Genomic DNA, 13,269 nt, shown 5'->3' on the forward strand with positions numbered 1-13,269 from the left:
GCTCCTTCAGCAATGCTGGTACTCAAATGTCTTGACCCAGGAAACTAGCACACTCTTTGATCTTTAGGTGATCACTCTTTAGGTGATCTTTCTCAATTTTTACGAATAATGACATCAAATCTATTTTTGCTACTAGTAGAAAGCCGAATTATCTGGTTTTGTAATTTAATGAGGACTTAATATAAATTAATATGTGTATGGGTACCATATTCTTGTTAGCACTCTTTAGTAATGCAGTCTCTTCGCTTCTTGCTTTGTTAGTGATAGTATTTGCCTTTCAACCTGTGAGTGAGGTATGTTAGCACCAAGCAGGGTTTTGCTTCTCACTTTGCCACTAGCAAAAGAAGTATGGTTAATGATAGCCATCTAGGGCTCTATCCAGAGTTGATCTCACACCTTTCTCAGATACCCACCTTCTTATTCAGCATACTGTGACAGGGAACTATCCAAAAAGGTGTGATTCCCACCTCCCTGAGAGGTAAACCAAGCTGTTACAACCCTGGAGACCTGATAATTAAATTTCCAAATTCATCTTTGTCTATATTTGTCAGTGGAAGTTTCTAAATTGAAATGTTTCTACAAATTAATTTTGGTACCTGTAACTGAAGGAGGCGGTGCAGCATATACAGATAGGTCTAGCTTGCTAGGTCTGTCTGCTATAGAGGGCAAAATCCACACAAGACAGTACCAAAGATGAATTTTGATTACTAATATTTTTCAAGTAGTCTGGTTTCTCCCCACCTGATAGAGGTTGCTACATCTTTCCAAACAGGTTCTCTAATGATCTTGGTTCACCATGGCTACAAATATGGAGGGGCTGGTTCAGCACAGAGTGGGGACCCAGCAGGTGGCTGAGGTGAGTGACAGGGGCTAGCACAGTAGCTGGCACCCTCACTTTCGAAAGAAAAGAAAAATCAGTGTGCTCATTTTTTTCAAAACAGTCCCTTGGAGGTCAGCATGTGATACGTCCTAGGGTGCTGTCATGGGAGAAAAAAATGACAAGAACATTTATTTGTAACTTTTTTTTTTTTTTTTTTTTGCATGAGTAGGGTGGCCTATCTGCTTTTAATAAGGTGACTTGAACTTTTACTTTAAACCGAAAACTAGTAGAATCTGATTATTATTGAACCTTGTGGGTATAGTTTAAACTCCAAATCTCTTAGTTTCTCGTACGCTTGATTCTTCGTTAATATTATGGAATAGTAGAAGACGTGATTATGTCCATTCAGCAGTCATTGACCATTTGCCATGGACCAGGGATTGTACTAAGTGCTGAGTTATATGGGGGTGAATGAGTCATGGGTTGTTCCTTTAGTGATCTCAAGGCCTGGTTAAGGAGTTATTATAAAATAGGTTGAGAAGTATAATTCCATGTGAGGGATTTGATCCTGGAGGTGGATCTTCCATTATGAGTAAGCATTTGTCAGACCCAAGTAAGTGGGGTGGGGAACTTTGTGGTAGATTCTGGGGAGAGCATCCTAAGTCAGAAACCTATGTAAAAGGACGTAGGCATTAAGTAGCTTGGTATGTGCAGGCAACTTGACATGAAATGCATGGTAAAGCTAAAACACTAATTGCATACTTTGGGCATTCATTCTGTACCATGCCCTATGCAAGGGCTTTAATCCTCACAATAACTTTCTGAGGTTGGTACTGTCAGTATTCCCATTTAGTAGGTAAGGAAACCAAGTCTCAAAAAATAAGTAATTAGCCAAAGGCACTGTATAGCAGGACAAGATGCTGACGCAGGTCCGTTCACCTCCAAAGCTCTTCCAATTAACCATGGGTCCTACTGCAACCAGGAGCCAAAAGGTTGAGATTCGCATTTTTTATTTTTTATTTTTTATTTTTTGAGACGGAGTCTTGCTGTCTCCCAGGCTGAAGTGCAGTGGCGCGATCTCGGCCCACTGCAAGCTCCGCTTCCTGGGTTCACACCATTCTCCTGCCTCAGCCTCCCGAGTAGCTGGGACTACAGGCACCCGCCACACCACGCCCGGCTAATTTTTTGTATTTTTAGTAGAGATGGGGTTTCACTGTGTTAGCCAGGATGGTCTCCATCTCCTGACCTCGTGATCCGCCTGCCTCTGCCTCCCAAAGTCGCATTTTTTAATAATGCTCATATATCTAGGGCAAAGACACAAATTTACGTTCAAAGAGAGGATTTTTTTAAACAAAAACTAAGTATACATATGCCAGTTTAAACCGATAAAAATGGTGAGCAGATTTTTCAGATTTTTAGATCAACCATTAACTGAAATGCAACAATGTAACTAGTTACCTACCCCCCTCCCCACCCAGCAAATAATGGTTAATATTAACTGAAAATGAAAGAAGATAGATTTGACAAATATTTTATTATTATATTTTTGAATGGGCTATCAGAGTTACAGAAGTATTGGGATTAAAATGCTTGTAAAACAAGTCCTCATTTAACGTTATCAGTGGGTTCTTGGAAACCAGCTTTAGGTGAAACCACATATAACAAAACCAGTTTTACCCTAGGCTAATCAAGAGTTAAGTTCCTATGGCATATTTCTGGTCAAAAAATAAAAAATCAAATTTCTAAATAAAGATACAGAACACCTCTAATATTAAATATTGAAATAAATGTGAGCTATACATACTTTTAAGATTAAAGACTAATATAAACAAAATTATTTACCCAATATTTGGTGAATCAGTGAGTGATGGCAGTCATGGTGGTGAATTATATTAAGGAATAATTGCAAAGCAAAAATTGTCAGGAGTACCTCCTACCACTATGCAGTCAATCACAAGTATGACAGGCCCACTGAGTGCTTTCTTACTGCGTAGTTTATTGTCATGCATTTGGTATGATTACTGTGGACTTTATTTTTTTTATTTTCTATTTTATATTTTTTATTTTTTATTTTTTTGAGATGGAGTCTCGCTCTGTGCCGAGGCTATTGTGCAGTGGTGCGATCTCGGCTCACTGCAAGCTCTGCTTCCCAGGTTCACGCCATTCTCCTGCTTCAGCCTCCCGAATAGCTGGGACTACAGGCGCCCGCCACCACACCCGGCTAATTTTTTTTTTTTTTTGTATTTTTAGTAGAGACGGGTTTCACCGTGTTAGCCAGGATAGTCTTGATCTCCTGACCTCATGATCCGCCTGCCTTGGCCTCCCAAAGTGCTGGGATTACAGGCGTGAGCCACCGTGCCCGGCCATGAATTTTTATTTTACAATAATTTGTATTCATTTCCCAACCCACTTATTCCAGTTCAGGGTGATAGGTGGCTGGATCCTGTCCTGGCAGCTCAGGGCACAAGGCAGAAACACTCCTGGCCAGGACACCATCCTGTCACAGGGTGTACTCACATACATACCCACACTCACTCAGACTGGGATAATTTAGACACACCAAGTCACCTCGCATGCACATCGTTGGCATGTGGTGGGGGAAGCCGGAATACCTGCAGAGAACCCATGCAGACATGGGGAGAACATACAAACTCCCCACAGACAGTGGCCCCGGCCTGGAATCACTTTTTTTCTCATCAACATTATAACAAAACAACATTATTTGAGGACTCCCATATTTATTTGTTGCTTTATTTTGTGATAGGAATAATTACCTTGAAAATAATTGTTAATTTTTCAAATATCTGTGTTTCCACCTGAGGCTGATTTGGAAACTGCTATGTGGATTGCTGCCCTAAGAGGCCATCATTCTTTCTTTTTCTTTCTATATCACAAGTCGTCAGGCAACATCATTAATTCTTTAGGAAAGAGGTTAATATAGGCTAATGTAAGTTCTTTGTATGCATTCAAGAAGTTTGCTAGCTAAAATTTTCTGCCAAATACCTTATTTCCTTCAGGCAGTAGAATTTCATGTATTAACTTAGTACAACTGTTGTTTCCCATGGCAAAAAAAAAAAAAAAAAAAAAAAAGCATTTTTAGAGACTCAAAATAATGAAAGTCAGTCTCAATTTTGAGTGCAAAAGCAATCCTCCTGTTTAAAATATTTCCTAGATTTCCTTGCTGTTTTTTTTGTTTGTTTGTTTTTGTTTTTGTTTTTTTTTGAGACAGAGTTTCGCTCTTGTTGCCCAAGCTGTGGAGTGCAATGGCGTGATCTCAGCTCACTGCAACCTCCGCCTCCTGGGTTCAAGCTATTCTCCTGCCTCAGCCTCCTGAGTAGCTGGGATTACAGGCGTGGGGCACTATGCCTGGCTAATTTTTTGTATTTGTCGTAGAGACAGGGTTTCGCCTTGTTGGCCAGGCAGGCTGGTCTTGAACTCCTGACCTCAGGTAATCTGCCTGCCTCAGCCTCCCAAAGTGCTGGGATTACAGGCGTGAGCCACCATGCCTGGCCCCTTAGTGTTATTTTGAGGAATAAGTATGTATTTGTGTCCTTTGAATTTTTGAGCTTAGTAATTTTAAACTGCATATAATAACTATATATAATATTTGATTAGCTAAATGAGTAAGAGGGCCTACACTTTATCATTTTAATGCTAAGTAGTAATGGAGTGGGAATAAAGTATCCAAATTGAGAGATAATTAATAGTCAGTTTTGGATAATTGTTTACTCAATCAGCAGATAATGAAGGAGCATACCAGTTTCCTTCCCATAGGCCAGGGAGGATATGCTGGTGGATAATAGGACAGGGCTTTTGCTCTCCCAGAGCTCTCTAACGGGATAAGCCCGAGATAGGCTACACTAGTTGAATAGGAAAGATAGGATCTTGGTAGAAAGAGACTCTATCGAGTGAGATTGTGAGCCGTGAGATCAGACAGATTGGGGTTTAAATCCTCGTCTCTATTATAAACAATCAAAAAATTTAGCTGGACGTGGTGGCGCCTTCCTGTGGTCTCAGCTACTCTGGAGGCTGAGGTTGGAGGATCACTTGATCCCAGGAGTTCAAGACTACAGTGAGCTATGATGTCCCTCACTGCACTCCAGCCTGGATGACAGAGTGAGAACCTGTCTCTAAAATAAGTCTTTTTAGAAATGAGCTTTAGTAAGTGCCATGCATTTTTGCTTCATGAAATACAGCAACATTGTGGATTATGTAAATGATGTTCTCTAGAGTACCCATTCAGCTTTTTTCTCCATAGACCATCTAAGTGGCAAATACCAAGGTAAACTACAAAAGTTGGGTGATATGAAATAACTTGATGTCCTATAATGTGCTCAAATTTAGTAATTCAGAGAGACAGTTGAATATAGTGGTCAACAGTGTAGACTCTGGAGCCAGATTGCCTAGATTTAAATCCTGGCCCTGCCACTTGAAAGCTGTGTGACCTCTCTGTTTTTTGAAATTGTTTATAAAGAATTGATATTAACTTTTCTTTAAAAATCTTGTAGAATTAGCGGAGAAGCCATCTGGGCCTGGCCTTTTCTTTTCAGGTAATTTTTGGATTACTAATTCAGTCTTTACTTGTTACAGGTCTGTTCATATTGTCCATTTCTTCTTGAGTCAGTTTCAGTAATTTGTCTTTTTGGGACTTTGTTCATTTCATCTAAGTTATCTAATTTGTTGGTGTACAGTTCTTCATAGCATTCCTTTATAATCCTTTTTATTTCTGTAAGGTCAGTGGTAATTTATCCTCTTTCATTTGTGATTCTAGTAATTTGAGTCTGCCCTCTTCTTCTTGGTCAATCTAGCTGAAGGTTTGTCAACTTGATTTTTTTTCAACAAACCAGCTTTTTGGTTTAATGGATTTTCTCTATTGTTTTTCTATTTTCTGTTTCTTTAATTTTTGTTAAAAAGCACAGTGAGATACTATTTCACATCCACTAGAATGGCTAGAATATAAAAATCAGATAGTAAACACTGGAAAGGAAGTGGAAAAATTGGAAACCTCATACGTTGCTGGTGGGAATGTCAGCCAAATGTCCATTAACAATGAAATGACTGTGAAATTTGATTTTAAAAAACAATGTGGTTCATTTTTTTTTAAAAAAAGGAATAGCTGAGAATGGGAGAGATAAGGTGGCAGATGATAATTGGTAACCAAAGCAGTGAGAGCTTGAATCATGTCTAACACTGGAATTAATTTTGCTTTTCATATATTAAAGGAATGAAATTTTCTAAAGGGGCTTCAGTATTTTTTAAGCATTTAAGATTTCCCAAACTATACTACAAGGCTACAGTAACCAAAACAGCATGGTATTGGTACCAAAACAGAGATATAGATCAATGCAACAGAACAGAGCCCTCAGAAATAATGCCGCATATCTACAACTATCTTATCTTTGACAAACCTGAGAAAAACAAGCAATGGGGAAAGGATTCCCTATTTAATAAATGGTGCTGGGAAAACTGGCTAGCCATATGTAGAAAGCTGAAACTGGATCCCTTCCTTACACCTTATACAAAAATCAATTCAAGATGGATTAAAGACTTAAATGTTAGACCTAAAACCATAAAAACCCTAGAATAAAACCTAGGCATTACCATTCAGGACATAGGCATGGGCAAGGACTTCATGTCTAAAACTCCAAAAGCAATGGCAACCAAAGCCAAAATTGAGAAATGGGATCTAATTAAGCTAAAGAGCTTCTGCACAGCGAAAGAAACTACCATCAGAGTGAACAGGCAACCTACAAAATGGGAGAAAATTTTCGCAACCTGCTCATCTGACAAAGGGCTAATATCCAGAATCTACAATGAACTCAAAGAAATTTACAAGAAAAAAACAACCCCATCAAAAAGTGGGCAAAGGACATGAACAGACACTTCTCAAAAGAAGACATTTATGCAGCCAAAAAACACATGAAAAAATGCTCACCATCACTGGTCATCAGAGAAATGCAAATCAAAACCACAATGAGATACCATCTCACACCAGTTAGAATGGCAATCATTAAAAAGTCAGGAAACAACAGGTGCTGGAGAGGATGTGGAGAAATAGGAACCCTTTTACACTGTTGGTGGGACTGTAAACTAGTTCAACCATTGTGGAAGACAGTGTGGCGATTCCTCAGGGATCTAGAACTAGAAATACCATTTGACCCAGCCATCCCATTACTGGGTATATACCCAAAGGACTATAAATCATGCTGCTATAAAGACACATGCACACGTATGTTTATTGCGGCATTATTCACAATAGCAAAGACTTGGACCCAACCCAAATGTCCAACAATGATAGACTGGATTAAGAAAATGTGGCACATATACACCATGGAATACTATGCAGCCATAAAAAATGATGAGTTCATGTCCTTTGTAGGGACATGGATGAAATTGGAAATCATCATTCTCAGTAAACTATCGCAAGAACAAAAAACCAAACACCGCATATTCTCACTCATAGGTGGGAATTGAACAACAAGAACACATGGACACAGGAAGGGGGAACATCACACTCTGGGGACTGTTGTGGGGTGGGGGGAGGGGGGAGGGATAGCATTGGGAGATATACCTAATGCTAGATGACGAGTTAGTGGGTGCAGCGCACCAGCATGGCACATGTATACATATGTAACTAACCTGCACATTGTGCACATGTACCCTAAAACTTAAAGTATAGTAATAATAAATTAAAAAAAGAAAAAAAAATTTCCCTCTATAACTGGAAATTTAAAGCAGACATATAGATACATATACTATGTATTTCTTCATTGCCTAAATAAAGATTCTTTTTTTTTTTTTTTTTTTGAAACAGAGTCTCACTGTGTCACCCAGGCTGGAGTGCAGTGGTGTGGTCTCGGCTCACTGCAACAACCACTTCCGTTCAAGCAATTTTCCCGCCTTAGCCTCCCGAGTAGCTGGGACTACAGGCACGTGCCACCACACCCAGCTAATTTTTGTACTTTTAGCAGAGATGGGGTTTCACTGTGTTGGCCAGGCTGGTCTCGAACTCCTGACCTTGTGATTCACCCACCTTGGCCTCCCAAAGTGCTGGGATTACAGGCGTGAGCCACCATGCCCGGCCAATAAAGATACTTTTTAAACTCCATATTTTGAGTCAGGAGAAATTTAGGAGTTAACTTGCTGAAGTATTTTGAGTGCTTACTGATTGGCAGAAAGAAATCACTCATACACCTAAACTATAAGTTGCATGTATGTTTATGCAATAGAAATGAAGTGGCTTTACAACCCTTTTCCTTGATCCCTGGGCTATGTAAGGGGCTCTCAGCCATCAAATAAGGCCTGCCATGGCTGAGAAAATAGCCAAATTCTTATGACCTCTTTATTCTTTTTATCAACAGGATTTACATCATTATTGCAGAAAACTTACACTAACATTTCCATGTAAGGGAATGTTTAAAAACATAGAGCTCTCCCAGTTGTTGAACAAAATGCAGTATTGGCAAGGCCGTGTCCTCAAGGAGGGAAAAGCAAAGTTGGGTTTTCAGTGTGCTGGAATGCCTAACTCACTAGGACTGAATTTGATTAATCCTGCCCTCTAACTGGATGTTTAAATTTTCATTTTCTTGTCAAAGTAGTACATATACATACATTTAAAAGTTGACCAATACAATATTAGGCTTAAAGCAGAAAACAGCAGGTTTCTGAACCACTCTTACCCTTTATCACCAAGCCTCCTCTAAATTTGATTTCTTCTGGTATTTAACTTCATGCTTTAAAAAATGTCCTTACCCCACTATTTCTAATTCTTGATTTATCGGGCTTAGATACTGTCTTTTTTGGGGGCCGGGGGTGGGGGGTGGGGGGGTGGTAATGAATTCTTTTTTTGTTTTGTTTTGTTTTTAATTGCGGTAAAATATAAAATTTACCATTTTAACTGTTTTAAAGTGTGGAGTTCTTTGGCATTAAGTACTGGTCACATTGTTCTGTAACCATCACCACCATCCATCTCTAGAACTTTTTCTTCTTTCCAGACTGAAACTCGGTATCCATGTAGCACCAGCTACCATTCCCCTCATTCCCCTAGCCTTTGGCAACCACCATTCTTTCCATGTCTCTGAATTTGACTTCTCTAGGTACCTTATGTAAATAGAATCATGTAATTGTCATTCGTTACTGGGCTTATTTCACTTAGTATAATGTCCTCAAGGTTAATCCATGTTGTAGCATGTGTCATATGTTATAGTATATGTCAGTTTCCTTCCTTTTTAAGACTAATATTCTACTTATGTATCACATTTTATCTGTTCATCTGTCAGTGGGCATTTGGGTTGCTTCAACCTCTTGGCTTTGAGGAATGCTGCTGTGAACGTAGGTATACAAGTATCTTGAGTCCCTGCTTTCAGTTATTTTGGGTATACAGTTGGTACTCAACTTATGATGGTTCAACTTACAATTTTTTAACTTTGCAATGGTGCAAAAGCCATATGCATTTGGTAGAAGCCATACTTCAAGTACCTATATAACCATTCTGTTTTTCAGTACAGTATTTAATAAATTACATGAGAAATTCAACAATTTATTATAAGCTTTGTGTAAGATAATTTTGTTCAGCTGTATGCTAGTGTGAGTGTTCTGAGCATGTAAGATAGATTCGGCTAAGCCATGCTGTTTGATAGGCTAAGTGTATTAAATGCATTTTTTTATTTTTTATTTTTTTGAGGCAGAGTCTTGCTCTGCGCCCAGGCTGGAGTGCAGTGGCGCAATCTTGGCTCACTGCAACCTTTGCCTCCTGGGTTCAAGCAGTTCTCCTGCCTCAGCCTCCTGAGTAGGTGGGATTACAGGCACCCACCATCATGCCCTGCTAATTTTTGTATTTTTAGTAGAGATGGGGTTTCACCATGTTGGCCAAGCTGGTCTCAAACTCCTGACCCCAGGTGATCCACCTGCCTTGGCCTCCCAAAGTGCTGGGATTACAGGCATAAGCCACCGTGCCTAGTCTTACATGCATTTTTGACTTAATGACATTTTCAACTTACAATGGTTTATCAGGACATAACCTCATCATAAAGAGCATCTGTATACCCAGAAGTGGAATTGCTGGATCTTAGGTTTCTACATTTGATTTTTGAGAAACTGCTATATTGTTTTCCACAGCGGCTGCAACCATGTTACATTCTTACCAGCAGTGCACAAGGGTTCTAGTTTCTCCACATCCTCAACAACACGTTATTTGTTGTTTTGTTTTTTGATAAAAGCTACCCTAATGGATGTAAAGTGATATTTGATTGTGGTTTTGACTTGCACTTCCCTAATGATTAGTGATGTTGAACAGCTTTTCTTTTTTTGTTGTTGTTCACATTAAAAAATTAATTTACCTAAATTTCTTTTTTCTTTTTTTTTTTTTTTGAGACAGAGTTTCACTCTTGTTGCCCAGGCTGGAGTGCAATGGCATGATCTCGGCTCACTGCAACCTCCGCCTCCCAGGTTCAAGCGATTCTCCTGCCTCAGCCTCCCGAGTAGCTGGGATTACAGGCATGCGCCACCACGCCCAGGTGATTTTTGTAGTTTTAGTAGAGACGGGGTATCTCCGTGTTGGTCAGGCTGGTCTCGAACTCCTGACCTCAGGTGATCCACCTGCTTTGGCCTCCCAAAGTGCTTGGGATTACAGGCATGAGCCACCGTGCCCAGCCATAAATTTCTTTTAATTAAGAAAAAAAAGTTCTCATTCTCTCTCTTTTTTTTTTCTTTTTCTTTCTTTTTTTTTTTTTTTTCTGAGACAGTGTCTCATTCTGTCACCCAGGCTGGAGTGCAGTGGCATCATTTCGGCTCACTGTAACCTCCGCCTCCTGGGTTCCAGAGATTCCCATGTCTCAGCCACCTGAATAGCTGGGATTACAGGCGCACACCACCACACCTGGCTAATTTTTGTATTTTTAGTAGAGACAGAGTTTCACCATGATGGCCAGGTTGGTCTCAAACTCCTAACCTCAAGTGATCCACCTGGCTGGGGCTCCGAAAGTGCTGGATTACAGGCATGAGCCAGTACACCAGGCTGAGCAGCTTTTCATATGCTAGTTGGCCATTCATATATTTTTGGAGAATGTCTATTCAAGTACTTTCCCACTTTTTAATTGGGTAGTTTGAGGTTTTTTGTCATTGAGCTGTAGGAATTCTTTATATATTCTGGATATTAAGCCCTTATTAGATTGTAGTAGTCCATTCTTGCATTGCTATAAAGGAATACCTGAGGCTGGGTAATTTATAATGAAGAGAGGTTTAATTGGCTCACGGTTCCACAGGCTGTACAGAGAGCACGGCAGCATCTGCTTCTGGGGAGGCCTCAGAGAGCTTTACTCATGGTGGCAGACAAAGCAGGAGCAGGTGTCTTACATGGCAGGGGCAGGACCAAGAGAGTGGGGGGAGGTGCTACACACTTTTAAACAACCAGATCTCATGGTAACTCACTCACTATCATGAGAACAGCACCAAGAGGACGGTCTTAAACCATTCATGAGCACTCCATCCCCATGATCCGATCACCTCCCATCAGGCCGCACCTCCAGCACTGGGGATTACAGTTTGACATGAGATTGGTTGGGGGAACAGATCCAAACCATATCACAGATATATGATTTGCAAGTACTTTGTTCCATTCTGTGGGCTGCCTTTCCATTCTCTTCATAGTGTCCTTTGATGTAAAAAAAGTTTTAATTTTGATGAAGTTTAATTTATGTTCTTTCTTTTGTTGCTTGTACTTTTAGTGTCATAATCAAGAAATTATCGCCAAGTCCAATGTCATGAAGATTTTCCTCTATGATTTTTTTTTGGCAGGGTCTTGCTCTGTCACTCAGGCTGGAATGCATTGGCACAAACATAGCTTAATCCAGCATAGACTTCCTGGGCTCAAGCAGTTCTCATGCCTCAGCCTCCTGAGTACTGCTGGGACTACAGGTGTACACTACCATGCCAGGCTAATTTAAAAAAAAAAATTTTTTTTAAAGACAGGGTCTTGCTATGCCGCCCAGGCTGGTCTTGAACTCCTGGGCTCAAGCAGTTTTCCCACCTTGGCCTCCCAAAGTGCCAGGATTACAAGCATGAGCCACCGTGCATGTCTCCTTATAATTTTAGAGTTTTAGCTCTACATTTAGTACTAAATTTTAGAGTTTAGGTCTATGATCCAGTTATACGGTATTGTATAAGGAGTCTGACTTCTTTCTTTTGCATGTGAATATCTAGTTGTCCCAGAACCATTTGTTAAAAAGACTGTCCTTTCTTCATTGAATGGTCTTGGCATGCTTGTCAACAATCATTTGACATATATTCACAGATTTATTTCTGGCTCTCTCTCCTTTTTTTTTCCTCTAATATTGGTAAAACCACATAACATAAAATTTACTCTCTTAACCGTTTTTAAGTACGGATGTTCCTTGGTTTACAGTGGAGCTGCATCCAGGTAAGCCCATCACAAGTTGAAAACATCACAAGTCTGAAATGCATTTTATAACCCAGTAAACCAATCATAAAGTCAAAAAATTACAAGTCAGATCATCAAGTCAGAGACCGTCTCTGTATACAGTTCAGTAGTTTAAGTATATTCATACTGTTGTACAACAGATCTTCACAGTTTTTTCATCTTGCTAAAACTGAAACTCTATACTTATTAAACAGCAACTCCCCAATGCCCCCTTCCCCCACCCTCACAACTGCTCTTCTACTTTCTATGAATTTGACTATTGATAACTACTGTAAGAATTATACAGAACCTGTCTTTTTGTGACTGGTTTATTTCACTTAGCATAATATCCTCCCGGTTCAGGCTATTTGTTTGTATGTCTCTCTTTATGCCAGTACCACATTGTTTGGATTACTGTAGCTTTGTAGTAAGTTTTGAAATTGGGAAGTACGAGATATCTAACTTTGTTCTTTTTCAAGGTTGTTCTGGTTGTTCAGGGTCCCTTGAGATTCCATATGAAGGTTAATGGATTTTTCTATTTCTGTAAAATACATCATTGGGGTTTTGACAGGGATTACATTGAGTTTGTAGATGGCTTTGGATAGTGTTGACTTCATAACAGTATTAAGTCTTTCAATCCATGAACACAGGATGTTTTTCCACTTATTTATGTTGTCTTTAATTTCTTTCCATGGTGTTTTATAGTTTTCGGTGTATACTTATGGTTTTTTTGTTGGTTTTTTTTTTTTTTGAGATGGTCTCACTGTTTCACCCAGGCTGGAGTGCAGTGGTACAATTTAGGCTCACTGCAACCTCCACTTCACAGGTTCAAGTAATTCTCCTGCCTCAGCCTCCCAAGTAGCTGGGATTACAGGTATGTGCCACCATGCCCGGCTAATTTTTGTATTTTTACTAGAGACAGGGTTTCACCATGTTGGCCAGGCTGGTCTTAAACTCCTGACCTCAAGTGATCTGCCCACCTTGGCCTCCCAAAGTGCTGGGATTACAGGTGTGAGCCTCTGCGTCCAACCAG

At 39.8% G+C, this 13,269-nt stretch overlaps 1 protein-coding gene across 23 annotated transcripts in view; it reads left to right on the plus strand.

The window, feature by feature from the left end:
* NR2C2 (nuclear receptor subfamily 2 group C member 2) overlaps positions 1-13,269 on the plus strand; it is a 101,691-nt gene that overhangs the window by 14,054 nt on the left and 74,368 nt on the right. For 15 of the 23 annotated variants that reach the window (XM_047448826.1, XM_047448825.1, XM_047448830.1 and 12 more), the window contains one exon: positions 773-856. The exons of the other annotated variants lie outside the window; for them this stretch is intronic. In XM_047448826.1, coding sequence (XP_047304782.1) covers positions 797-856 — 60 coding nt within the window. In that variant the 5' untranslated portion in view covers positions 773-796. The remainder of the gene's footprint in view (positions 1-772; positions 857-13,269) is intronic. 23 annotated transcript variants of the gene reach the window in all.

Source organism: Homo sapiens, chromosome 3, assembly GCF_000001405.40.
Source record: "Homo sapiens chromosome 3, GRCh38.p14 Primary Assembly".
NCBI lineage: Eukaryota > Metazoa > Chordata > Mammalia > Primates > Hominidae > Homo > Homo sapiens.